General features: G+C 40.3%; 1 long non-coding RNA gene across 1 annotated transcript in view; it reads left to right on the top strand.

Annotated features, from left to right (window-relative positions):
- The window catches only part of LOC124901007 (uncharacterized), a 46598-nt gene extending 21793 nt beyond the window's left edge, over window positions 1-24805 (top strand). Inside the window, exon 2 of the long non-coding RNA XR_007058824.1 lies at window positions 23833-24805. This is a non-coding gene — a long non-coding RNA (uncharacterized LOC124901007). The remainder of the gene's footprint in view (window positions 1-23832) is intronic.
- The last annotated feature ends 2762 nt before the right edge of the window (window positions 24806-27567 follow it).

Below are 27567 nucleotides of genomic sequence, written 5' to 3'. Positions count from 1 at the left end.
AAGGAGGCAATCAGTTATGCATTTATCTCAATGAGCAGAGGGGTGACTTTGAATAGAATGGGAGGCAGGTTTGCCCTAAGCAATTCCCAGCTTGACTTTTCACTTTAGCTTATTGATTTTGGGGCCCAATGTATTTTCCTTTCACATTTCTCCCCCTTTTCTTTTTTAAACTCTTTTGGAGAAAGCATTTGAGAAGAAATTGAGTCTCTGGCCTCAAGTTTTCTCTGATCTCTCATAGCTAGGATGGCTTATTCATAGACAGGTCAGTTCTGAGTTATTAGGAAAGCTCATTTTTAGAAGTTTGTGAAGTTTCATGTCCTGTGAAGAGAAAATAGGGTGAGGAAGGGAGAAAAACAACAACAAACAAAGAACAACCCTAGAAAATCTATTAGGCCACATTATTCTGAAGTACATACATCATTAGGTAGGTATGAAAGTGGCTTATGTATGTAAATAGGTTGCTGTTATTTTCTTCTGAGGTTTAAGTTGTCTAGCTTCAGTTTGCAGGGCTTTATGAAAGCACAGCTTAGTTTTCAGTGACTCCAAATTAGGAAAAATGAGGAAAAAAAGAAGAAAAAATGGAAAACATTATTTTGAAGACTTGTAGCCAAGAAAAATTAGAATTTGGTCCAAATTGTGGAAAATAATAAAAATTGAAAAACATTAGGCAAGACTAGAATCTAACAATAGGTGTACTATAATTTTTGAAAGATAGTTTTTCTCTCCCCAATTCCCCATTTTTACTAAAGACAAATTCTGGTAGGACTGGTTTGTTTTATTATGCTTGGCCTAATTATTTGTATCCCAGATAAGACTTTTAAGAGCTGAGCCCAGCTATGGATTTGTGTCATCAAATACCTATGAGTTGGGTGATCCTCTCCCCTTGAGATTCCAAGATAAACTTGGGGCTCCTGGACCTGCCAGAAACTGACATTTTTACTTGCCACAGATCAGGAACCCTGTACAGGGACTGTGTAGACAAAGGTATGAAGCCATTTTTTCCAAGGGGCTTTTCTTGGCTCCGTAAGTTAAGTTTGATTGCTTAAAGAAAAGCATTCCAGTTAAAGCCTTAGTAAAATAACCAGTTTCTCTAATTGTGTCCTGTTATAAATGAAAACAGATTTTTATTACACTTATGCAAATAACTGTATTGTCATAAGTTAAGAATACTTACAACTAGTTTCCAAATTCTGGGGAAGTCAGGTAGAGAGAAACAAAAATGTTCCAAATTTTGTTCATAGGAGTGTAATTTACTCAATTGTTCAAAGCTATAAATAGCTTAAAAGAAAAATTTTCTTGACTCTGAAAAACAAAACAGAGGATCAGTAACATTTTAAGCAAAAAGTTAAAAAGATTACTTCAGACTTCTATTAGTTTAGTCCATACAGTTACTTCCTATTCTGCTTGATAAGTCATGAACATTTCAGCTCTCCATGAGTCCTGAGAGTTTTTTCTCTATTCTGATGTGACAGTTTCCAAAGTTATCAGAAACCTACATTAGGAAACCTGTTAGAGTTTTGTAGCAGATTATAAAACTACCTTCTAAAAAGGACCAAAACGAGACAACAATTGCTCGTGGATGACAAAAGTTTTATGACAGCTATAGTCAAAGACACAATTGACAAGGAAATTTGTTACCTCTGTGGCACACAATAATTTTACATAACAATTATAATTATTACTGATAACATACATTGTCATATCAGAATTATACGAGTTTCCCATAATTTTGGAACATATACCAGTAACATATTTATACAAATATAGCCCAAAGAAAACTAAACATCATTTTATATTTGACAATGCTTCCTGTATAATTTTTATAGCAAAGTAGCCAAATATGTCATTTTTTGACTTTAGGAAACCTATTAATAATATCTTAAAGGATTAAATAGGTTAGAAAAAGACATAATTTATAAGTTGATTTTGAAAAGTTTGTCAAATATGAAAGGTTTAGACACTTGATATTACAAAATAGGATCACAGGTCATTGTAAAATAAGTCATTCATTTAACCAAAATGATAAGGATTTTTTTTTTTTTAAAAAAAGCAAAAACCTTCATTCATTGAGAGAGGAGACTTAATTTTCCAAACAATAAGGCCTAATAGAAACAGCATGAAGCCAATTAAATTTGTTTTCCAAAATTTTATAAACAATCTGTAAAATTTTCCTCTTGATTATAAGTTTTATAAGTCCTTATAACCTTTATTAAGGAGTTGGTTAATGCTTCAAGAAAACCTTGTTAATCTGACACAGGGTCCCATATGCTGGTCTTGCATCAGTGTGCCTTTGACATTAATTACTAATTTATAGAGAAACTGAACTTTATCTCTCAAAATTGACCCTTACAATCTCATATGCCCACCTCTTCCACAATAGTCCCTGGGCCTTGAGGAGTCGAATAGCTTTAGTTTCTGGCCCTATGTCTCAGGAATGCAGTTTATCTTGATTGACATCTTCTACTGGGCCTGAAGTTGAGGCTTTAATTGTCAATGTTTAAAATTTAGCAGGACTTGGTGTTCTTTTTAAACCCAGGGGTCAAAGCCCTGTAACTCAATGTCACAAGCACTTTAAAATCACATACAGGAAGATACAGCCTTAATTTTAAAATTTAATTAATTAATTAATTTATTTGAGACAGTATCTCACTCTGTCACCCAGGCTGGAGTGCAATGGCATGCATGGCAATGGCATGGCTCACTGTAACCTCCGCCTCCTGGGTCAAGCGATTCTCCTGTCTCAACCTGCCAAGTAGCTGGGATTGCAGGCAACTGCTATCATGCCAGGCTAATTTTTGTATTTTTATAGAGACAGTGCTTCACCATGTTTGCCAGGCTGGTCTCGATATCCTGACCTCAAGTGATCTGCCCACCTCAGCCTCCCAAAGTGCTGGGATTAGAGGCATGAACCCCATGCCCAGCCCAAAAATATAATAATAATAATCTCAGTTTTTCCTGAGCAAACCAACCTTAGTAATAATGGCATAGAAATTATTTTGATAAAACATAAAATCTGTTTGACCAGTTACAAACAGGCAAAAGAAAAGACTTTCTGCAGTGCACAGAATATTATGTTGGAAGAAAACATTGCTTTAGACCTTTAAGAAAGCATTGTTAGCATCAGGCCACAAAAACAGAACCCAAGGAGGAAAAAAAACTTATCTAAGCTGAAAATAAGTTGAAGGGGAGAGTTACTATTTCACACCTTTCAAAAGGGGAGAGAAAACCAAAACTGGTGAGATGCAATAAAAGTTGAACTTTGGGTTAAAATAAAAAAAATTAGAATCTCTTATAATTCATTAACAGTAAATCAACCCCTTAAGAAAATGTCATTGTTCTAACCAATTCCTTAGTGTTTTTCTTTACATCAAACCCAATCTCTAGAAAGACCATTATAATTTCCCTTTAATCATAGACAACTTGATCATGTGAAAGTTTTTGGTTTTTAAAAATTAATCCTCTTATTGTGACTTACACAGACTATTCACAACATGATAGGACATTCTGGTTTGTCCTGACCATCCCTCATTCTAAAACAACTAGTTATTTTATGCTAGGACTAAATTTACCATATAATATTCTTTCTCATGTGAAATTATTTCTCTTTAAGCTCTCTTACCAAAAAAAAACCTCTTAATTTTTATAACTTTCTTTACATCTCTTTTATTACCTGGTTCCTTTTACCTTGTTTTATATATGACCTTTAAATAAGCTTTGAATTAGAAAAAAATTGTTTACCTTTTTTAATAGGACACACCTTTTTTTTTTTTTTTAGAAAGAATGTTTTCCTACAAATATATTTGTATTGGAAAATACCCATATAAGGAACTATCTATTATTTAATTTAATATAATTTTCAGAGTCTAAATTATGATGAGTTTGTCTACAAGTATTTATTTTATTACCTTTACCTAATTATTTTATTTTAATCATTTACCTAGATTGTTTATAAAAACTGTGATTGTCATTATTTAAAATTATCGAACCACCATTGCAAAAATTATAAATGAGACAGTGAAAAAGATTTGACCTAACTGACTCCATCTTGCTTCTAACCTCCAAGCTGTCCTTGTTCATTCCTGGGCATAGGCCAAACTAACTATGGCAGGAACTTAGTTTATAATTTAGCTTTGAAACAAAGATGATAACAGTCCTTTCCCAAAACAACCCTTACTGCTGATGGACTAGACCACCTAAAGCCACAGGATTAGAAGTTATGGTAATCTTACTAAATTCCAGATGTAGCTGTTTTTATTAAACTGATATCAATGTCTTATTTATTAAAGATTACACAAGCAAAGATCATTCTGTCTTGGGCTGGGTTTATAGTTTTGTAACCCCTATGCCAAATTTTGACACCTTATAGTAATTGGCAGGAATAAGTATGAAATTGCTTGATTAATAAATGCAAACAAAAATGTATGCTGGCCATTCTTAAGATGTTTCCAATATTCCTTTACCAATAATTTTTTTTTTTTGAGGCAGAGTTTCACTCTTGTTTCCCAGGCTGGAGTGCAATGGTGTAATCTCGGCTCACCACAACCTCTGCCTCCTGAGTTCAAACGATTCTCCTGCATCAGCCTCCCAAGTAGCTGGGATTACAGGCATGCACCACCATGCCCGTCTACTTTTGTATTTTTAGTAGAGATGGGGTTCCTCCATGTTGGTCAGGCTGGTCTCGAACTCCCAACCTCAGGTGATCCACCCACCTCAGCCTCTCAAAGTGCTAGGATTACAGGTGTGAGCCACCGTGTCCTGCCACCAATAATTTTAAAGCTAGATTATTTATTACAAATTTTACTTAAGTTACGTAAATGTGTAAAAGCATTTGACTAGTCTTTTTCTTTTCTGATAAAGCATTTGATTCAAGTGCTTTTATTTTCCTAAGCTTATTTATTACAAATTTTACTTAAGTTACGTAAATGTGAAAAAGCATTTGATTAGTCTTTTTTCCCGATAAAGCATTTCATTCAAGTGCTTTTATTTTAAGCCAATTAATTAGAGCTCTTTTACACATTTTCAGTAGTAAAACATTGTGTACACAATGCATAAATACATAGATGTATTTGGCATGCCAATAGAACTACATCCTATACATTTATAAAATTCTTTTTTTCCCTATATTTCAGATTCTTGATAAGCTGTTTCCCAATCCTAGGCAGTTGTCAGCTAAATAGCCTTAAATTTCCATATTAAAGGAAACAACTCAAGTGAAAATCAAATGGTAACATTTACATCATAAGGAGAAAAAGTCTAGTGGTGCTAGAGAGGGATTAAAGATGGATGCCAAATCAAATATAAAATATACAAATCTATCATAGGATTGTATAAAAAGACCAATTTTATTTAGATAGGGACTACTTATATTTTAACTGTGTCTCTGAGCTCTGGGCAGAGCCCACACTGAATCCTGGGTCACCAAAAAGGGAGAATAATTTTGAGGTTAGACCACACGATGCTTTTACAGTGCACTTAAAAAAGTTTTTTTAAAAACGAAGTCATTTCTAAGTGTCTAAACTATAAACTACACCTTTTCTTAAAAATCCAAGAGTAACCCCTGTTGCAATAACTATTTTAGCAAGAACAAACAAAAAAGTAAGTAACACAATACAAAAGTAAGCAGGGGTTTGCGGGCAAGATGACCAAATAGAAACACCTCCAGTCTGTAGCTCCCAGTGAAATCAATGCAGAAGGTGGGTGATTTCTGGATTTCCAACTGAGGTACCCAGCTCATCTCAATGGGACTGGTTAGACAGTGTGTGCAGCCCACAGAGGGCGAGCTGAAGAAGAGTGGGGCGTCACCTCACCCGGGAAGCACAAGGGGTCAGGGAACTCCCTCCCCTAGCCAAGGGAAGCTGTGAGGGACTGGGCCTTGAGGAATGGTGCACTCTGGCCCAGACACTACACTTTTCCCATAGTCTTCACAGCCTGCAGACCAGGAAATTCCTTTGGGGACCTACGCCACCAGGGCCCTGGGTTTCAAGCACAAAACTGGGTGGCTGTTTGGGCAGACACCAAGCTAGCTGTAGAAGTTTTTTTTTTTTTTCATGCCACAGTGGCACCTGAAATGCCAGCAAGACAGAACTGTTCATCCCCTGGAAAGAGGGCTGAAACCAGGGAGCCAAGTAGTCTAGCTCAGCAGATCCCACCACTACGGAGTCCAGCAAGCTAAGATCCATCGGCTTGAAATTCTCACTGCCAGCACAGCAGTCTGAAGTCGACCTTGGACACTTGAGCTTGGTGGAGAGAGGGGTGTCCGCCATTACTAAGGCTTGAGTAGGTGGTTTTTACCTCACAGTGTAAAGAAAGCCGCTGGGAAGTTCAAACTACTTGGAGCCCACTGCAGCTTGGCAAAGCTGCTGTAGCCAGTCTGCCTCTCTAGATTCCTCTGTTCTGGGAAGGGCATCTGTGAAAGAAAGGCAGCAGCCACAGTCAGGGGCTTATAGATAAAACTGCCATCTCCCTAGGACAGAGCACCTGGTGGAAGGGGTGGCTGTGGGCACAGCTTCAGCAGACTCAACCATTCTTGCCTGCCAGCTCTGAAGAGAGCAACGGATCTCCCAGCACAGAGCTCAAGCTCTGCTAAGGGACAGACTGCCACCTCAAGTGGGCCCCTGACCCCCCTGCCTCCTGACTGGGAGACTCCTCCTAGCAGGGGTCGACAGACACCTCATACAGGAGAGTTCCAGCTGGCATTGGGCAGGTGCCCGTCTGGGATGAAGCTTCCAGAGGAAGGAATAGGCAGCAATCATTGCCGTTCTGCAGCCTCTGCTGGTGATACCCAAGCAAACAGGGTCTGGAGTGGACCTCCAGCAAGTGCCAGCAGACCTACAGCAGAGGGGCATGACTGTTAGAAGGAAAACTAACAAACAGAAAGGAATAGCATCAACATCAACAAAAAGGGACGTCCACTCAGAAACCACATCGAAGACCAAAGGTAGATAAATCCATGAAGATGAGGAAAAACCAGCGCAAAAATGCTGAAAGTTCCAAAAACCAGAATGCCTCTTCTCCTCCAAAGGATCACAACTCCTTACCAGCAAGGCAACAAAACTGGACAGAGAATGGATTTGATGAATTGACAGAAGTAGGCTTCAGAAGATGGGTAATAACAGACTCCTCCAAGCTAAAGGAGCATGTTCTAACCCAATGCAAGGAAGCTAAGAACCTTAAAAAAGGTTAGAGGAATTGCTAACTGTTGGTAGAAGAGCTGATGCAAGACGGGCTTGTCTGTCATTATGTAAAAGAGTCTTGGAACATGTCCTGGGTCCAGGGTCTAAACCCCCTCGTGGCCTTTGGAACACCAAGCTCTGTGCCAAAGGGTGGAAGGCTGCCCTGCTGCACCACAATCTAAGCACAGGGAATACAACCCCTTGTGGCGTGGATGGAATCCAAGGCTCAGGGCATAAAACCCCTTGTGGCCTCTGGAATGTGCAAAGACTTGTTGGTTCCTTGCTTCTTGCTCCCCCAGGCTTGTAAACATGTTCTCCATTATCTCAGGTAGCAGAGCATATTACATATGCATCAATGAAAATGCTAAACCATAACAGCTACACTTGATGCACTGCTACCTTTCTACCCCCAAGTCCTCACATTCTCACCTGTTTACCCCCACATCTGCACGTACTTACCACCTGCTTCTTTATTTGGTCACCAATAAATAGTGTGGGCTTCCAGAGCTCGGGGCCTTTGCAGCCTCCATACTAGCATTGGCCCCCTGAACACACTTTATGTACTCTTAACTTGTCTTGTCTTATTCCCTTGACTCTGCTGGATTTTGTAGCCCCCACGGCCTGGTGTTGGGTCTGATCACCCCAACACTAATGATAATAACCAGTTTAGAGAAAAACAGAAATGACCAAATAGAGCTGAAAAACACAGCATGAGAACTTTGTGAAGCATACACAAGTATCAGTAGCCACATTGATCAAGTGGAGGAAAAGATATCAGAGATTGAAGATCAACTTAATGAAATATAGCATGAAGACAAGATTAGAGAAAAAAAATGAAAAAGAATGAACAAAGCCTCCAAGAAATATGGGACTATGTGAAGAAAACCAAACCTACATTTGTTTGGTGTACCTGAAAGTGACGGGGAGAATGGAACCAAGTTGGAAAACAATCTTCAGGATTGCAAGACAGGCCAACATTCAAATTCAGGAAACATAGAGAACACCACAAAAATAATTCTCAAGAAGAGCAACCCAAAGACACATAATCATCAAATTCACCAAGGTTGAAATGATGGAAAAAATGTTAAGGGCAGCCAGAGAGAAAGGTCAGGTTACCCATAAAAGGGAAGCCCATCAGACTAGTAGCAAATTTCTTTGCAGAAACCCTACTAGCCAGAAGAAAGTGGGGACCAATATTCAACATTCTTAAAGAAAAGAATTTTCAACCCAGAATTTCATATCCAGCCAAACTAAGCTTCATAAGTGAAGGAGAAATGAAATCCTTTACAGACAAGCAAATGCTGAGGGATTTTGTTACCACCAGGCCTGCCTTACAAGAGCTCCTGAAGGAAGCACCAAATATGGAAAGGAAAAACCAGTACCAGCCACTGCAAAAACATAGCAAAATGTAAAGACCATCAAAACTATGAAGAAACTGCATCAACTAATGGGCAAAATAACCAGCTAGCATAGTGACAGGATCAAATTCACACATAACAATATTAACCTTAAATGTAAAAGGGATATATGCCCCAATTAAAAGGCACAGACTGGCAAATTGGAAAAAGAGTCAAGATCCATTGGTATGCTGCATTCAGGAGATGCATCTCACGTACAAAGACACACTTAGGCTAAAAATAAAGGGATGGAACAATATTTACCAAGCAAATGGAAAGCAAAAAAAAAAAAAAAAAAAAAGCAGAGGTTACAATACTAGTCATTGATAAAACAGAATTTAAACCAACAAAGATCAAAAAAGACAAAGGCCATTACATCATGGTAAAGGGATCAATTCAACAAGAAGAGCTAACCGTTCTAAATATATATGCACCCGATACAGGAGCACCCAGATTCATAAAGCAAGTTCTTAGAGACCTACAAAGAGACTTAGACTCTCACACAATAATAATGGGAGACTTTAACACCCTACTACCAATATTAGACAGATCAATGAGACAGAAAATTAACAAGGATATTCAGGACTTGAACTCAGCTCTGGACCAAGCAGACCTAATAGACTTCTACAGAACTCTCCACCCCAAATCAACAGAATATACATTCTTCTCAGAACCACATGGCACTTATTCTAAGATTGACCACATAATTGGAAGCAAAACACTCCTCAGCAAATGCAAAAGAATGGAAATTATAACAAACAGCCTCTCAGACAACAGTGCAATCAAATTAGAACTCAGGATTAAGAAACTCACTCAAAACTGCACAATTACATGGAAACTGAACAACCTGCTGCTGAATGACTACTGGGTAAATAACAAAATTAAGGCAGAAAAAATTAATTCTTTGAAACCAATGAGAACAAAGACACTACATACAGAATCTCTGGGACACAGCTAAAGCAGTGTTTAGAGGGAAATTTATACCACTAAATGCCCACATCAGAAAGTGGGAAAGATCTAAAATTGACACCCTAACATCACAATTAAAAGAACTAGAGAAGCAAGAGCAAACAAATTCAAAAGCTAGCAGAAGACAAGAAATAACTAAGAGCAGAGCAGAACTGAAGAAGATAGAGACACAAAAAACGCTTCAAAAAATCAATGAATCCAGGAGCTGGTTTTTGAAAAGATCAACAAAATTGATAGACCACTAGCCAGACTAATAAAGAAGGAAAGAGAGAAGAATCAAACAGACACAATAAAAAATGTTAAAGGGGATATCACCACTGATCCCACAGAAATACAAACTACCATTAAAGAATAATATAAACACTTCTATGCAAATAAAGTAGAAAATCTAGAAGAAATGGATAAATTCCTGGACACATACACCCTCCCAAGACTAAACCAGGAATAAATTGAATCCCTGAATGGACAAATAACAAGTTCTGAAATTGAGGAAGTAATTAATATCCTACCAACCAAAAAAGCCCAGGGCCAGGTGGATTCACAGCCGAATTCTACCAGAGGTACATAGAGGAGCTGGTACCATTCCTTCTGAAACTATTCCAAACAATGGAAAAAGAGGGATTCCTCATAACTCATTTTATGAGGCCAGCATCATCCTGATACAAAAACTTGGCAGAGACACAACAAAAAAAGAAAATTTCAGGTCAATATCCCTGATGAACATCAATGCAAAAATCCTCAATAAAATACTGGCAAATTGATTCCAGCAGCACTTGAAAAAGCTTATCTACCATGACCAAATCAGCTTCATCCCTGGGATGCAAGGCTGGTTCAACATATGCAAATCAATAAACATAATCCATCACATAAACAGAACCAATGACAAAAACCACATGATTGTCTCAATAGATGCAGAAAAGGCCTTTGATAAAATTCAACTCCCCTTTATGATAAAAACTCTCAATAAACTAGGTATTGATGGAACATATCTCAAAATAATAAGAGCTATTTGACAAACCCACAGCCAATATCATACTGAATGGGCAAAAGCTGGAAGCATTCCCTTTGAAAACCAGCACAAGATAAAGATGCCCTCTCTTGCCACTCATATTCAACATAATATTGGGAGTTCTGGCCAGGGCAATCAGGCAAGAGAAAGAAATAAAGAGTTTTCAAGTAGGAAGAGAGGAAGTCAAATTATCTCTGTTTGCAGCTGACATAATTGTATATTTAGAAAACCCCATTGTCTCAGCCCGAAAACTTATTAAGCTGTAAGCAAGTTTGGCAAAGTCTCAGGATACAAAATCCATGTGCAAAAATTACAAGCATTCCTATACACCAATAATAGAGAGCCGAATCATGAGTAAATTTCCATTCACAATTGCTACAAAGAGAATAAAATACCTAGGAATACAACTTACCATGGTTGTAAAGGACCTCTTAAAGGAGAACTACAAATCACTGCTCAAGGAAATAAGAGAGGATATAAACAAATGGAAAAACATTCCATGCTCATGGATAGGAAGAATCAATATCATGAAAGTGGCCATACTGCCCAAAGTAATGTATAGATTCAATGCTATCCCCATCAAACTACCATTGACTTTCTTCACAGATTTACAAAAAACGGCTGGGTGCGGTGGCTCACCCCTGTAATCCCAGCACTTTGGGAGGCCAAGGCGGGCAGATTATGAGGTCAGGGGTTCAAGATCAGTCTGGCCAACATAGTGAAACTGTGTCTCTACTAAAAATACAAAAAAATTAGCCGGATATGGTGGTGTGCACCTGTAATGCCAGCTACTTGGGAGGCTGAGGCAAGAGAATCTCATGAACCTGGGAGGTGGAGGTTGCAGTGAGCTGAGATCATGCCAGCTCACTCCAGCCCGGGTGACAGTGTGAGACTCTGTCTCAAAAAAAAAAAAAGAATTAGAAAAAACTACTTTAAATTTCATATGGAACCAAAAAAGAGCACGCATAGCCAAGACAATCCTAAGCCAAAAGAACAAAGCTGGAGGCATCACGCTGCCTGACTTCAAACTATACTACAAGGCTACAGTAACCAAAACAGCATGGTACTGGTACCAAAACAGATATATAGACCAATGGAACAGAACAGAGGCCTCAGAAATAATGCCACACATGTACAACCATCTGATCTTTGACAAACCTGAGAAAAACAAGCAATGGGGAAAGGATTCCCTGTTTAATAAGTGGTGTTGGGAAAACTGGCTAGCCATATGCAGAAAACTGAAACTGGACCCCTTCCTTACACCTTATACAAAAATTAACTCAAGATGGATTAAAGACTTAAATGTAAGACCTAAAAACCATAAAAACCCTAGAAGAAAACCTAGGCAATACCATTCAGGACACAGGCATGGGCAAAGACTTCATGACTACAACACCAAAAGCAATTGCAACAAAAGCCAAAATTGACAAATGGAATCTGATTAAAGTAAAGAGCTTCTGCACAGCAAAAGCGGATCACCAGGTCAGGCGCTCCAGGTCAGGCAGGTGGATCACCAGGTCAGGGTGGATCTCCAGGTCAGGACGGCGGATCACCAGGTCAGGAGCTCAAGACCATCCTAGCTAACAAAATGAAACCCCGTCTCTACTAAAAATACCAAAAATTAGCTGGGTGTGGTGGCATGCACCTGTAGTTCCAGCCACTTGGGAGGCTGAGGCAGGAGAATCACTTGAACCCGGGAGATGGAGATTGCAGTGAGCTGAGATCGCGCCATTGCACTACAACCTAGGCAACAAGAGAGAGACTCTGTCTCAACAACAACAACAAAAAAAGTCCAGTCAACTGAGAAAGAAAAACTTTTGCTTAAAAAAAAAAAAAAAAAAAAAAAAAAAAAAAAAAAGATGAGGTCCTAGGAGAAAAACAAAAACAAAACATGAAGGCCTTTTAAATACAAACACACAAATATGTGCACACACACACACACACACCTTGGATGTTTGCTTTTAATTAAGCTTTTAACCATTGAGCTCCTTCGAAAAGATGTTTTTTAATCTCATTACCATATTTCAGCTAGAACAAATTGCTGCTATGTCAGATGTACAGCCATTGCTCTTCAGTTTGGCCTGGCTAGCAAACAGATGGCCTTGTTATGTAAATAAAGCCCCTTAGCAGTCAAAATAAAAATTTTTTTCCTCTCTTTTTATCCTTTTGCTGGCCATTTTTCTACTCCCACCACACTATCCTTTTTTGTGTGTGTTTGGGAATTTAGCCACCTCAGAGGCCTCTTTCCTCATAATTTGGAACTTCCTTTGGGTTTGATCTGGTTGGATAGAGTTGATCAAACCCAATGGGAAAAAGACCGAAACAACAACAGAAACAGAAACAAACAACAATAAGAAAAAATGTTAAGCAAAACAAATGATTGCACAACTTACATGATTACTGAGTGTTCTAATGGTAAGGAGAAATTAAGACCAGCTGGTTGTTAATCTTAGCTTTATCCAAGACAAACCTCAATTCGGTTACTTACCGAGGGATGGATTTCAGGCTGAAGACTCTCTCTACCATCCTAGAAGCAGGAAAAACAAACAAACAAACAAACAAAAAAACCAAAAGAAAACCTCATCTCCCCTTTGGAAGTGAGCTCAAACTTCATAAAGGAGTTACCTGCCTTCCATGACCATGGAAGAGAAAAAAAAAAAAGAATTGTACAGCAAAATAAACTTTAGATTTCAACCAAATTTTGGGAGATCAGGAATTCTCTGGAGCAGGTGCTCTCAGACCTCAGCAAATTATCCTATTGGTTTGAGCCATAAAGTTAGCTCATGTTGGTACCAAGCACCAGTAGGGGATTTGTCAATAGTCAGGGGAACCTCCACTCAGAATCCCTTCATGGTTACCAAAATGCAAACTCTAAAAAGTCAAGACAAGTCTCAGTTAATTTAGAAAGTTAATTTTGCCGAGGTTGATGACGTGCCCATGACACAGCCTCAGGAGGTCCTGACAACATGCGCCCAAACTGGTCAGAGCATAGTCTGGTTTTATACATTTTAGGGACACATGAGACATCAATCAACATATATGAGATGAACATTGGTTCGGTCTGGAAAGGCAGGACAACTGAAAGCTGGAAGGGGGCTACCAGGTCATAGGTAGATAAGAGACAAATGTTTGCATTCTTTTGAGTTTCTAATTAGCCTCTCCAAAGGAGGCAATCAGATATGCTTTTTTTTTTGAGACGGAGTCTGGAGGCTGGGTGCAGTGGAGCGATCTTGGCTCACTGCAAGCTCCACCTCCTGGGTTCATGCCATTCTCCTCCCTCAGCCTCCCGAGTAGCTGGGATTACAGGTGGCCGCCACTACGCCTGGCTAATTTTTTATATTTTTAGTAGAGACGGGGTTTCACCGTGTTAGCCAGGATAGTCTCGATCTCCTGACCTTGTGATCTGCCTGCCTCGGCCTCCCAAAGTGCTGGGATTACAGGCGTGAGCCACCGCCCCCTGCCCAGATATGCATTTATCTCAGTAAGTAGAGGGGTGACTTTGAATAGAATGGGAGGCAGGTTTGCCCTAAGCGTTTCCCAGCTTGACTTTTCACTTTAGCTTAGTGATTGTAGGGGCACAAGATATTTTTCTTTCACATTTCCTTCATGTTTGAAAGATATTTTCACCAGACATACTATTCTAGGGTAAAAGTTTTTTTTTCCTTCAGCACTTTAAATATGTCATACCACTCTCTCCTGGCCTGTAAGGTTTCAACTAAGAAGTTTGCAGCCACGTGTATTGGAGCTCCTTTGCATGTTGTTTCTTTTGTCTTCCTGCTTTTGGGATCCTTTCTTTACCCTTGGACTTTGAGAATTTGATTATTATGTGTCTTGAGTTAGTCTTATTTGGTTTAAATCTGCTTTGTGTTCTATAACCTTCTTATACTTGAATATTGATATATTTTTGTAGGTTTGTAAGTAATTAAGCTCTCTGTTATTAACCCTTTGAATAAACTTTTTACCCTGATCTGTCTCCTCTTTAAGGCCAGTGAGTCGTAGATTTGCCCTTTGGAGGCTGTTTTCTAGATCTTGTATGTGTGCTTCAAATTTTTATAATTTTTTTTTTGTCTCCTCTGACTGTGTATTTTCAAATAGTCTGTCTCTAAGCTTGCTAATTCTTTCTTCTGCTTGATCAGTTCTGCTGTTGAGAGACCGATGCATTCTTCAGCATTACAACTGACCTTTTCAGCTCCAGAATTTCTGCTTGAATTTTTAAATTATTTCAATCTCTTTGTTAAATTTATATAATATGATTCTGAATTCCTTCTCTATGCTATCTTGAATGTCACTGAGCTTTCTCAAAACAGCTATATTAAATTCTGCCTGAAAGGTCACATGTCTCTGTCTCTCCAGGATTGGTCATGGGTGCCTAATTTAGTTGGTTTGGTGAGACCATGTTTTCCTGGATGGTCTTGATTCTGTGGATGTTTTTCAATATCTGGGCATTGAAGACTTTGGTATTTATTGTAGTCTTTGCAGTCTGGGTTTGTTTGTACCTGTCTTTCTTGGGAAGGCTTTCCAAGTGTTCAAAGGAAATTAAGTATTGTGATCTAATTGTCTGGTCACTGCAGCAATATCTGCATTAGGGGGCACCCCAAACCTAGTAACACTGTGGTTCTTGCAGACTCATAGAAGTACCACCTTGCTGGTCTTAGGTAAGATTCAAAAGAATTCCCTGGATTAGTAGTCAGAGACTCTTATTCTTATCCTTTACTTTCCCCCAAACAAATGGATCCCTCGCTCCATGCTGAGTTGCCCGTAGCTGGGGGAGGGGTGACACAAGCACTCCTGTGGCCACCACCACTGGGACTGTGCTTGGTCAGACCCAGTGTCAGCACAGCACTGGGTCTTGCCCAAGGTCCGCAATAAACACTGCCTAGCTACTGCCAATGTTCACTCAAAGTTCATTCATCAGGTGGCAAATCCGGCCAGGCTTATGTCCTTCCCTTCAGGGTGGTGAGCACTCCCTTGGCCCGGGGTGGGTCCAGAAATGCTGTCCAGGGGCCAGGGCCTGCAGTCAGGATCCTTAGGAATCTCCTTGCTGCTCTATCTATTCTCCTGCAGCTGAGCTGGCACCAAAGCCACAGGAGAAAGTCCTTCCCACTCTTCCCTCTCCTTTCTTCAAGCAGAGGAGTCTCTCTTCATGGCCACCACCATGCCAAGCTGTGGCAAGCACTGCCTGGCTGCACAAAAGGCTCAAGAGCTCTTCAATCAGCTTGTGGTAAATGCTACCAGGCCTGGGTCTCTCCCTTCAGGGCTGTGGACTACCCTCTGGCATAGGGTGGGTGTGGAAATGCCATCCAGAAATCGAGAACCCCAGGAACCTGCTTGGTTCTCCACCTCACTGTGACCAAGCTGGTACCCAAGCAGCAAAACAAAGCCCCCTTTACTCTTCCCTCCCCTTTCCTCAAGCAGAAGGAGTTTCTCCCGGTGGCCACCACAGCTGGAGAGGTGATGGGTCACACCTGAAGTCGGCATGGCACAGTCTTACCCAAGGCCGGAGGCAGGTACTGCCTGGTTACCGCTGATGTTTATTCAAGGCCCACTTTAATCAGCAGGTGATGAATCCTGCAGAACTGGGTCCTTCCCTTCAAGGCAGAGGGTTCCCTTCTGGCCCAGGGTATGAACAAATTTTGATGACATTTTGCCTTGTGCCTGGCATGTGAAGACGTGAGCACTTACACATTGCTAACTGAAGTGAAAATTGGTATAGCCTGTGTGCAAAGTTTTCTGGGGAGTACTTATTAAAATAAAAAAAATGCACATGTAAAGATTTCTACTTCAGGTCAAGAAGGAATATCTGGTACTCTATTTACCTTCACATCTTAGCTATAAATCTGAATCAAATATATAAAACAATAATTTTCAAGGCACTGACCATCAGGCAGCAAAGAACAGTGATCTGGAAGACACAGGAAACAAGAAAGGTAAATCCTTTGAGTGTCCCAGCTCACTGCATGAAAACAGAGTACGTGCTTGACACAGGAAGGAGAAACCCAGACAGAGCCCAGTGGTCTCCTTGAGTTGAGGAATGTTGGAATTTGTGGAGGCAAAAGTAGGTAGAATTTGCAGGCCAGGTACCAGAGAGAAGGAAGTAGAGAGAGAGACAGCCTAGAGATTTGCAGCGGATTCCCAAGTTTAACTGAGTCCTGATCAGTGCAAACATGTGAGGAAGTCCTGAGTAGAGGAAAGAATCATGATCATTTTAGAAATGTGTCCTCTGATGCATGTGCATCCAGGGGCACACAGTATGGTTGTGCTCATCGCTTGAGTGCCTTTGGCCAAGGAGCTGAAATCCAGTCTGGGCTCTCTTTTCTAGCTGCATATCCTGTCCCTGAGGCAGGGATGTAAAGAGCTTAGAGAAAGTAACCTTTCTAAAATTCACACAAAGATGCTATCTACCCACCAAACTGTGAGAATACAAGATTACTTCTGCTCAGATCGGGCACCTTTCTCCAATTTTCACAAAGACTGGTCACCCTATCACATATTTCAGCCCACCTTGGATCTCAGCCACATTGCGGTGGACAGTTTCACGGTTGCTCAGGCTCACATCAGCTGACAGTAGTCTTTCTTGAGCTTTCCCTAGGGTGAAATTCAGTGTGGAAGTGTGGGAGAACTAATGCATCTAGGAGCAACCTGGATAAATGCTTCAGTCTTTTGTCCTTCGCTGAACAATTTTGGGGTGTTGTATATAGTTCTTGGGGGTTCCAGACAACTTCTAAAACCCACCTTCTTCTTGGCTTCTCCTTCCTTGCTTTCTCACTGTCCCTACTCCTTCACTCCTGTTTCCTGGAATCACCTCTCAATAAACTAACTGTACTTAAGTCCTTGTTTCAGTGTCTGCAGGGCAGGAAGTGGAGTGAAGGATTACTCAACACAGCACTGAGGGACTAGCAGTGGCCTTGCTTTCATGTGGGCAAAATGATACATCACAGTGTCATTCACAATAGCAAAAGGTGGTCATCAATAGGTGACTAGTTAAATAGATGTGGTCCATCCATGCAGTGGAATACTGTGCAACTTTAAAAGGTGGGCAAGTCCTCTATGGGCTGGTATAAAAAAAGCTCCAAGATATATTATTTGAAAAAAATCCAGAAAATTTATATAGTATATATTGTGTAAAATAGGGAGATATATAATACATATTACCTTGTATATGCATGAAGAAACTTTGGAAAGATACATAAATCATTAGCTGTTATAATTCATTTTTGTGGGGAACTGGGCATATTGGGGGGTGGTGAGAGGAAGACAATTTTTTATATAGATATACATATGCAAACATATAAAACATATATATAGCATGATACCATTCTAAAATTTACGTATGTGGATATAATATCCTTCCTTAACCCTACATTTCTTTCCTACACTACCCTCCTTCCTCCCTTTCATAGACAAAGCTCATGAAAGGGCTTCATTTGCTTTTCTAATGTGGTATACTCTTTTTTTTTTTTGAGTCAGAGTCTCACTCTGTTGCCCAGGCTGGAGTGCAGTGGCACAATCTCGGCTCACTGCAGCCTCCATCTCCCCAGTTCAAGAAATTCTGTGCCTCAGCCTCTTGAGTAGCTGGGACTACAGGTGTCCACCACCGCACCCAGCTAATTTTTGTATTTTTAATAGAGACAGGGTTTCACCATGTTGGCCAGGCTGGTCTCGAACTCCTGACTTCAGGTGATCTGCCTGCTTCGGCCTCCCAAAGTGCTGGGATTACAGGTGTGAGCCACCGCGTCTGGCCAACTCTTTTTTTTTTTGCGGGGTTGGGACAAGGTCTCACTCTGTTGCCCAGGCTGGAGTACAGTGGCACAATCAGATCTCACTGTAACTTTTAACTCCTGGGCTCAAGAAATCCTCCCATCTCAGCCTCCTGAGTAGCTGGGATTACAGGTGTACACCACTGCACCTGGCTATTTTGTAAAAATTATTTTTAGTAGAGATGGGTTGCGCTATGTTGCCCAAGCTGGTCTTGAACTCCCAGGTTCAAGTGATCCTCTTGCCCCTGCCTCCCGAGTAGCTAGGACTATAGGCATGTGCTATCATGCCTGGCTAAGTTTCAGAACAGTATAATATAGTATGCTCCCATTTCTAAATTTAAAAATGGTATGTATCTAATTTATGTATACACAACTGTTATCGGCATTTGTCTGTGATTGAATTGAATTATGAGAGGCTCTCACTTTCTAAGTAATATTTTCTATAATAACTGATTTTTTTTTAATAGACCCAAAGCTGAGCTGCCACTAAGCTTTGAAGCTTATTTATCATCTCACATTCTATAGGTCAGAAGTCTGCATTAGGCTCAACTGCATTCTCCCTTTGGGGTCTCACAAGTCTAAAATCAAACAATTAACCATGGTCGTACTCTTATCTGTAGTGTATAGTACTATTCCAAGCTCGTTCAATGTGGAAGAATTCAATCCCTTGGGGTTGTAGGAATGGGGTTCTGGCTTTCCTTCTGGCTGTCAACTGAGGCCATTCTCAGCTTCTAAGGCCTGCCTGCCATTCCCTGCCATGTGGCTCTTTATATAACATGGACTTTGCTTCTTTAAGACTAGCAGGGGTGTTTGCTGCAGCTTAAGATCTCTCTGCTTTCTTCCAGCTCTGTTGGACCTTCTTTCAAAAAGGTCTTGTCTGATCTACTCAGATTCATGCAAGGTGATTTCCATCTTGATGAACTCAAAGTCAACTGCTTAGGAATCTTAATTACATTGGAAAAATTAATTGTGACATATTATGATCACATTGTCATGGAGTATCCCATAATATTCACAGATTCTTCTTGCACTTAAAGCTTTATACAAATCATGTATGTTAGAGGGCAGAAACATTGGGATCATCTCAGAATTCTGCCGTTCATAGTTTATCCTCTGTCTGTTCCTAGTGCTTTACTTCCCTCTCAGATCAGGTCTCCAGTCACCAGACCTGAAGTTTTTCATGTTACATGGAATAAGGACTATGTTCATAGGTTATTTTGTTCCTACCTACTGGGATCAACTAACCATCATCAAAGGTTCTTGTAGGTCAGAACATTTTGATACCACTTCCTCCCTGATGCACAGATAGTGAACACCTGTGTGTGACTATTAAGTGCTGCCACGTGACCTGTGCTACTCTGGGATCCATTATCCTCATTGAATCAAGAAACCAATCTCAACAGTACCATCTTCTATCTTTCTAACTGACCTACAAAGGATAACACCTCCTTTTCTGTGATGCTTGTGCTCCCTTCACTAATCTACTTCTCAGTGCCTTATTAAATTGCATATCCTCTGGGTCCTCTCAGTGGATGAAGAGGGAAAAGGCAGGGATTAATTTTGCACATGATAATTTACTTCAACAAATTTCTCCAATCCTTTGAATGCTTTCACTTACATTATCTCAGGGAAGTTCCAGCATCTCAACCTCATTAAATGTAGGCCAGACTTGAGTTGAAATTTTAGTCAACAAATCCAGTGAACTGTTAAAGCAACTTGTAGTAGTATGAGCTAATTTATTAAATCCAGAATCAATGGTCAGTACACCAATATCAATATAGTTAGCCTTACCCAGTGTTACATTTTGTTCTTGTCAAATGCTCTTAGAACTCATTCACATACATATTCACTGGGTTTCTGCCAACATAAAACAGTAAAATTTTGCAATTACTTTGGAGAGTGAGCTGTTTCTTCTTGTGTCAAGCTTTCAATTTGTCTTCCCGATACAATCTGAAATCTAACGCCAGGGTGGGTCTTGTGGCAACAAGTAGTGGGAGCAGATCTTGAGGAGAATGGACATCTCTTGCCAGGCAACTGCTTCAGATAGAATTATTATTACAGGTTATTCAAGCAAGGAAATGAACGTCTACTCAAAGGACAGCAAGCTGAGAGGCTGTGGATTAATAATAGTTGTATAATTTCATATATCAGAACTGAAAAAGCCAAGAATAAAGTTATTTTTATTTTACTTAACTTTTTAAGAGACAGGATCTTGCTTTGTTCCCCAGACTAGAGTGCAGTGGTTTATCATAGCTTACTGCAGCCTTGACCTTCTGGGCTCAAGCGATCCTCCCACCACAGCCTCCTAAGTAGCTAGGACTACAGGCATGCACAACCATGCTGGACTAATTTTTACATTTTTTTGTAGAGATGGGATCTTGCTATGTTGTTCAAGCTGGTCTCGAACTCCTAGACTCAAGCGATCCTCTCGTGTGATCCACAGTGCCCAGGCCAATAAGGTTTTAGTAGTGAGTCAGTAACTTACCAGAATGGCTCAAGGTTTCAAGAACCAGACAGGGTATTCCTATTTTTTTTTTGTTGTTGTTTGTTTTGGTTTATCCTAGGGTGCAAACTCTTTCCCTGAATGTAAAACATTCTGTCCACACTTTTCCATGATGGAAGCAGGACAGTGTCCATGTTGCTTCCAAAAGACAAAATTTTTTGACATTTTTATTGTTAACATGCAGCTCAGGAGAACCTACTATTCTTTAGTTTTCTTCCTCTTATTTACCTTCTTTCTCAACAAAACAAACAAAAAAGGATTCTTGTTTGTTGGTAAAAAAGCTAATGCTATCTAAATAATAAAGGAAAGAAAGCAGTAGTGCCATGGAAAGAGGGAAAATAAAATGTATTCAGAGCTAAGCGTGAAGAAAGTGTTTGGATATTAAGTGTGTGGGAAGTTCTGAACTTTCTCACGAGGCAAGAAATTCCAGAGAGGAGAGAGTTAACAGTCAATATGCATTATGCATTGGGTCCTATAATTTTCTTCAAGCATCTGGAGCAAATAATGGAATCTCTTATTAATTATGTTTGGGTACTTAAGTGGCTTTTTAAATGTGTGACTCTGGGTTTATACTAGATGATATGGGCCCCTGGATATTTTTAGAGTTGCACAATTTTCCTTCATTCACAGGTGTGTTAACTCTAAGCTGGGTTTTCACTTACTTAGACTATTTGTATTCCTGCCTGTAATTTTCCAAGACAGATTATTGCACATTCACCTGTTATAACTACAGACTGTCACTTCTCATATGAATTACAGCTCTTTGGAAATTAGCAAAATGGCTTTGCAAACAATGTCTTAGGTGAGGCAGGCAGGGCAGCTGGTAGCTACTCTGATGACGCCACTACAATTATATTGTGACCTCTGCTTCAGGTTCTTTCTCAATGCTGCAGTCAAGGTGTCAGCTGGGTTTAGTCATTCCGACGCTTGGCTGGGAGCAGCTACTTCCAAGCACACTTGTGGTTGTTGGTGAGATTTGAGTTATCTCCAACTGTTGGTTTGAGGCCTCAGTTTCCCAGAACTGTTGGCAGGAGGCTTCCCTCAATTCCTTGTCATATGGGCGTCTCCATAGAGCATTTCACAATGTGACACTGATGTTATCAAAGTGAGCCAACCAAGAGAGCAAGAGATAGTGCTGGCAGGATAGAAGTCTAATCATGAAAATGACATACCTTTGCTTTTGCCATATCTTATCCATAGAAACAAGTCACACTCAAGGAGGTTCAGCCCATACTCAAAGGGAGGACATTTATGAGTACCAGGAGTTGGGGATTATTGAGGGTCATCTTTTTTTTTTTTGAGACAAGGTCTTGCTCTGTTGCTCAGGCTGGAGTGTAGTGGCATGATCACAGCTCACTGCAGCCTGAACCCCCCAGGCTCAAGTGATTCTCCCACCTCAGCCTCCCAAATAGCTCCGACTACAGGCATGTGCCACCATGCCTAGCTACTATTTTAATTTTTTGTAGAGAGAAGTTCTCACTATATCGCTAGGACTGTTCTCAAACTCCTGGGCTCAAGCAACCCTCCTGCCTCGGCCTCCCAAAGTGCTGGGATTACAGGCATGAGTCACCATGTCTGGCTGTTGAGGGTCATCTTAAAAGTCTGCCTGCCACAGTGGGTGTGGAGGAAGAGCACAAAGAAGAGGCCATTAATGAGTAGGGAGGAGCCCAGGGAATTGCAGTTGTTAATGATGCTTTTTGTCATGTGTCAGTGGTAACTGATAGAAATTTTTACTGATTATAGATAATAATGAACTGATGGAGTAAGAAAAGGAAATCTAAATATCAGGTTGCATCTCACAAAAATAATATTGATCCCTAGAACTTATGTGAATTACTCCCATTGATGCCTAATTATGAAGATGCCTAAAAATGAGTGTAATTATAATTTAGATGTGACAAATACTTTCATTATAGGTGTTATTTTATTGCCACCATATCTGTGGATGTCAATAATGAGACCGTTTCTAGAATTGTAAGGCTCTGCTTATCTAATTTGCTGTATAACATAAAGCCACATTTCTTTTAACATTCAAAAAGTTCTCTCTCACTGTAGTTCTTCACAATGTCCAACAGCCTATCCAAATAAATAAATAATTGGATAATTATTATCCCAGAAGGTATACCCAGTAAAATTCTGATTTCCATTTCCTTATAAGGAGAAAATCAGAAATTTGGATTAGTCTTCTATGGCTTCTGTTTTTATTTATGCTCTAGGAAACCTCTCCCATGATTAGTTTATAAAAATTTTTTCTATATTTTCTTCTAACATATTTACAGTATTATTTTAAAAGCTTTTGCATATGAATGTAACTTGTGTGCATATATATTAGATGAAATAGATCTGTTGGGGAGGTGAGATAAGTACTTTTCTTTATTCCTGATATGTCCTTCCCCGTGTAGATGGCTTTGCTAGTATAATGCTCCCGACTCTTTCTGTCCCTCCTTTGCTCTTTTCCACAAAAGAAGGGATGACCTAATAGATTGGCAGGATTGGGAAGCAAAAACTGGCCATGATCAGCTCAGCAACACCCTCTGCCTCTTGAAAGGAAGCTGTCCATTAGAAGCATAAATTCTGCCCTTCCCTTTTCCTCCATTCATATGTTGATTGGAGGGTGGGGTAAATGTGGAGGGGTTGAGGGGGAAGGGCGCTACAGTATTCCAGTGCTGACTGGAAAGTTCTTTTAATTCTTGAATTCTGTATTTGGAATTCTATTTCTATGACTTGGGGCAAGCTGCTTAACTTCTCTGAACCTCTTTCCTCATCTGTAAAATCAGATGATTTACCTAGCAGGATTATTGTAAGGTTGAGTATATGTAAAGCAACTGGCATATTTGTGGTCAATAAATAGTGTTGTTTGTAGCAGTATCTTAGAATATTCCTGCTAAATATCTTCATAATTTTATATAATCTGGCTGTTTGACAGCTTTCAACAAATGACACCTCTCCTCTGCTTCAACTTCTTCAAGACTTTCCACACAGTGGGAGCCCCAGAGTGTGAGTATAAGCTGTGTTTATCTTGCAGGTTCAAGCAAATCCTACTGTGGTGGGGCAGAGGACCTTGAGAAATTGAAGTTCTTGGAAAATAACTCATCTTCAACCTAAGGGATTAGGGCACCTGAGCTTCGTCTGAAAAGATTGAGCCTGCTGGATTGATCAGCAATTTCCACATCAGCAGGAAATGTGCTGACCTTACTTTTTCTAAGCATTTGCAGAAAACTGGTGAAGAAAAAAAAAGTGTGCTACTTTACCTTCAATACCACTCTCAAATCTATGAAATATAACAAGGGTGAAGTGACAGTTGGGGGTTGTCAAAGACAGAGGATATGCCAAACTGTGGTTGGGGGAGATCTATGCAGTCAACACCAAGAGCCTGAGAAGGCCTCAGAAATCTAGCGTGGAGCCCACGCAGTGACAGGCAACGTCAAACAGTGGCCTAGGATCCTTCAGCCAACAGCAGAGACAGATAAAGAGAACAGTGAGGTTTGCAAGGATTGCCGGCCGCCAGAAGTGTGAAGATGCCAGGAAGGTCCTGCCCAGAGTCCCAGAGCCTGCATTGTCCTCACAACCCCTGATTCTGGACTTCTGGTGCCTCCAGAACTCGGGGAGAGTAAATGTCTGTTGTTAAGCCACCGTCTGTGGCACTGTGTCAAAGGATACCAATGACTTCCTTTATTATTTCAAAGGGATTTTAACTGATGGTGAGGGGGTATCGTTCACACAATTTGCCAGAAGGAGCTAAGTGGAAGACTCCTGCTTGGCTGTGCTCCTAGCTGGTGTGACTTGGAGAAGGTGAGTTCCACCATTAGCAGGCACCAGATAAACATACAAGTACAAATAAGCACATCACTGCCACTTCCTTTATCATGCAATAAATCTGACCTGTGAACTTCACACAAACTGTACAAATCTATGGTGCAATGGCAACTTGGACACCTGCCTTCATTTTGATCTGGAAAATGTTGAAATTAAAAAATATACATTGCTTATTCTCTTAATCAGCTTTTCCATTTTTAGGCCACAGTCTCCTAAATTGATGATAAAAATTAATAAAATGATGATTTTTCCATGATGGTAAAATCATTATGGAATGCTTGCTAAAAATTCAAATTGTTGAGCATTTCTCCTGAGTGATTAGTTCTTGTTAGTTGACATATCAGAACTAATTATACATTTTTAAGTGCTTTACCAAAATACGAAAGTTGGTGCCTTAACTGGGGTGGGTCATGCAAGCTGCACTGATAGAAGGCACCAGGAACCCACTGAAAGGACTCAAGAAAAATACCATTTCTCTCTACCTCCCTCTCTCAAAGACTCAAAATTACCTTCACTTGTGTGAAATCTTAACATGGAAAGATGGGGAGAGGGAATGTCTCTCACCCTTCTTTGTCTCACGACAGGATTGTTCACTATTTTCTACATCTTTTCTTGGCTAATGTATCAAAAAGCTACTTGGCATTTCTGCATTGGTTCCTTAAATTCCCATTTCTTTCAAACTCCGGACACTTGATTGTCACAGCACCTCTCCTTAAATAGAGGGATATATATTATGGTGTCTATGAGTAGATTTAAGCCAGAACAAATAGAAACTGAATCTGCATTATCATCAGGATCTATTGCTCAAACCAAAAAGTTCCTGATGTATTTAATTTGACCAAGATCCATTTTAAAGCAGTGGTACCCAAAACTTGGTTGAGAAGACCAACAAATAAACCCCAATTCTTCCTATCTTTACCCTACCATCTCCTACAGAAAAATCTTTGTCCTGTATCTAATGGTGTCTGTATCCCTGGTGAGTAGAGGTAGGGGCCTATTTGGGTCATGCTTAAGTTAACAGGACTTAAATGTTCTCTAACTTTAGTTGTGCCCAAGAATATGTGGGGAGAATTGTTTAATATGTAGATTCCTGCATCACACCCCAGATGTTGATTTAGTAGGTCTAGGAAGAGGCCTGAGTTATTTGAATTTGTAACAGAGCGTCCCCAGTGATTTTTGTGCGTAGGATCTCACTTAGAGAAATAGTGGCATGCAAATCTGTAGGTAGATGGCTTAGTTCATTTTCTGTCTTTATAACAGAATGGCTGAGACCAGGTAATTTATAAAGAAGAGAAGTTAATTTGGTTTGCAATTCTGGAGGCTGAGAAGTCCAAGGGCATGGCAGCAGCTTCTGGCAAGGGCTTTCATACTGCATCATAACATGGTAGAAAAGCAGAAGAGCAGGCAAGCATATGGGAAAGAGGAGAGTCAAAGCAGGCAATGTGACCTGCTTTATGAAAACTCACTCTTAAGACCTAACCCTGTCCTGTGAGAACTTCATGAATCCCTTTATGAGAGCGGAACCCTCAAACACCTCCCATGAGGCTACAACTTCCAACACTGCCACATTGAAGAATTAAGTTTCCAATGCATGAACACTCTGGGGACACACTCAGACCATGACAGGAGATAAGCAAAAGACCACATGAGAGTTTTAGGAACATAATTCTGAATGCAGAGTGAGAAAGATTGGAATTGAGAAGACTTTGGGGCTGGTGTGGCTCATACCTGTAATCCCAACATTTTAGGAGTCTGAGGTAGGTGGATCATTTGAGGTCAGGGGTTCGAGACCAGCCTGGCCAACATGGTGAAACCCCGCCTCTACTAAAAATATAAAAATTAGTCAGGCGTGGTGGCAGGTGCCTGTAGTCCCAGCTACTCGGGAGGCTGAGGCAAGAGAATCACTTAAACCTGGGAAGTGGAGGGTGCAGGTGGGCTGAGATCGTGCCACTGCACTCCAACTTGGGGGACAGAGCAAGATTCTGTCTCAAAAAACAAACAAACAAAAAACAACAACAACAAAAAAGAAGACTTTGGGGCCTGGCACCATGGCTCATACCTGTAAGCCCAACACTTTGGGAGGCTGAGACAGGAGGATTGCTTGAGTCCAGGAGTTTGAGACCAGCCAAGGCAACAAAGAGAGATCAAGGCAACAGAGTTAGATCCCATCTCTACAAAAAATGAAAAAGTCAGCCAGTGTGGTGGTGAGTGCCTGTGGTCTCAACTACATGGGAGGCTGGGGCAGGAGGATCACTTGAGCCCAGGAGGTTGAGGCTGCAGTGAGCCATGTTCACACCATTGCACCCCAGCCTGGGCAAAAGAGCAAGACCCTGTCTCAAAAAAACAAGATGAAGAAGATGATGACTTTGGAAAGCCATTGCAGTATGGTTTCAAACTTTTGCTCACGACCAACTGTAAGAAAGTATACTTTATATTTTAGTAATACACACACATAAAAACTGAAGCAATAAGCTTTCTCAAACAGCATTTTTATATTATTAGATGCATTCTGCATTTCTATTCTTTCCTTTTTCTTTTTTTAATTTTCATTTTTATTTTTATTGATCATTCTTGGGTGTTTCTCACAGAGGGGGATTTGGTAGGGTCATAGGACAATAGTGGAGGGAAGGTCAGCAGATAAACAAGTGAACAAAGGTCTCTGGTTTTCCTAGGCAGAGGACCCTGCGGCCTACCGCAGTGTTTGTGTCCCTGGGTACTTGAGATTAGGGAGTGGTGATGACTCTTAACGAGCATGCTGCCTTCAAGCATCTGTTTAACAAAGCACATCTTGCACCGCCCTTAATCCATTTAACCCTGAGTGGACACAGCACATGTTTCACAGAGCACAGGGTTGGGGGGTAAGGTCACAGATCAACAGGATCCCAAGGCAGAAGAATTTTTCTTAGTACAGAACAAAATGAAAAGTCTCCCATGTCTACTTCTT

Source organism: Homo sapiens, chromosome 5, assembly GCF_000001405.40.
Source record: "Homo sapiens chromosome 5, GRCh38.p14 Primary Assembly".
Lineage (NCBI taxonomy): Eukaryota > Metazoa > Chordata > Mammalia > Primates > Hominidae > Homo > Homo sapiens.
Note: the sequence above shows the minus strand (reverse complement) of the source record. Positions and strands in the feature narration are given on the sequence as shown.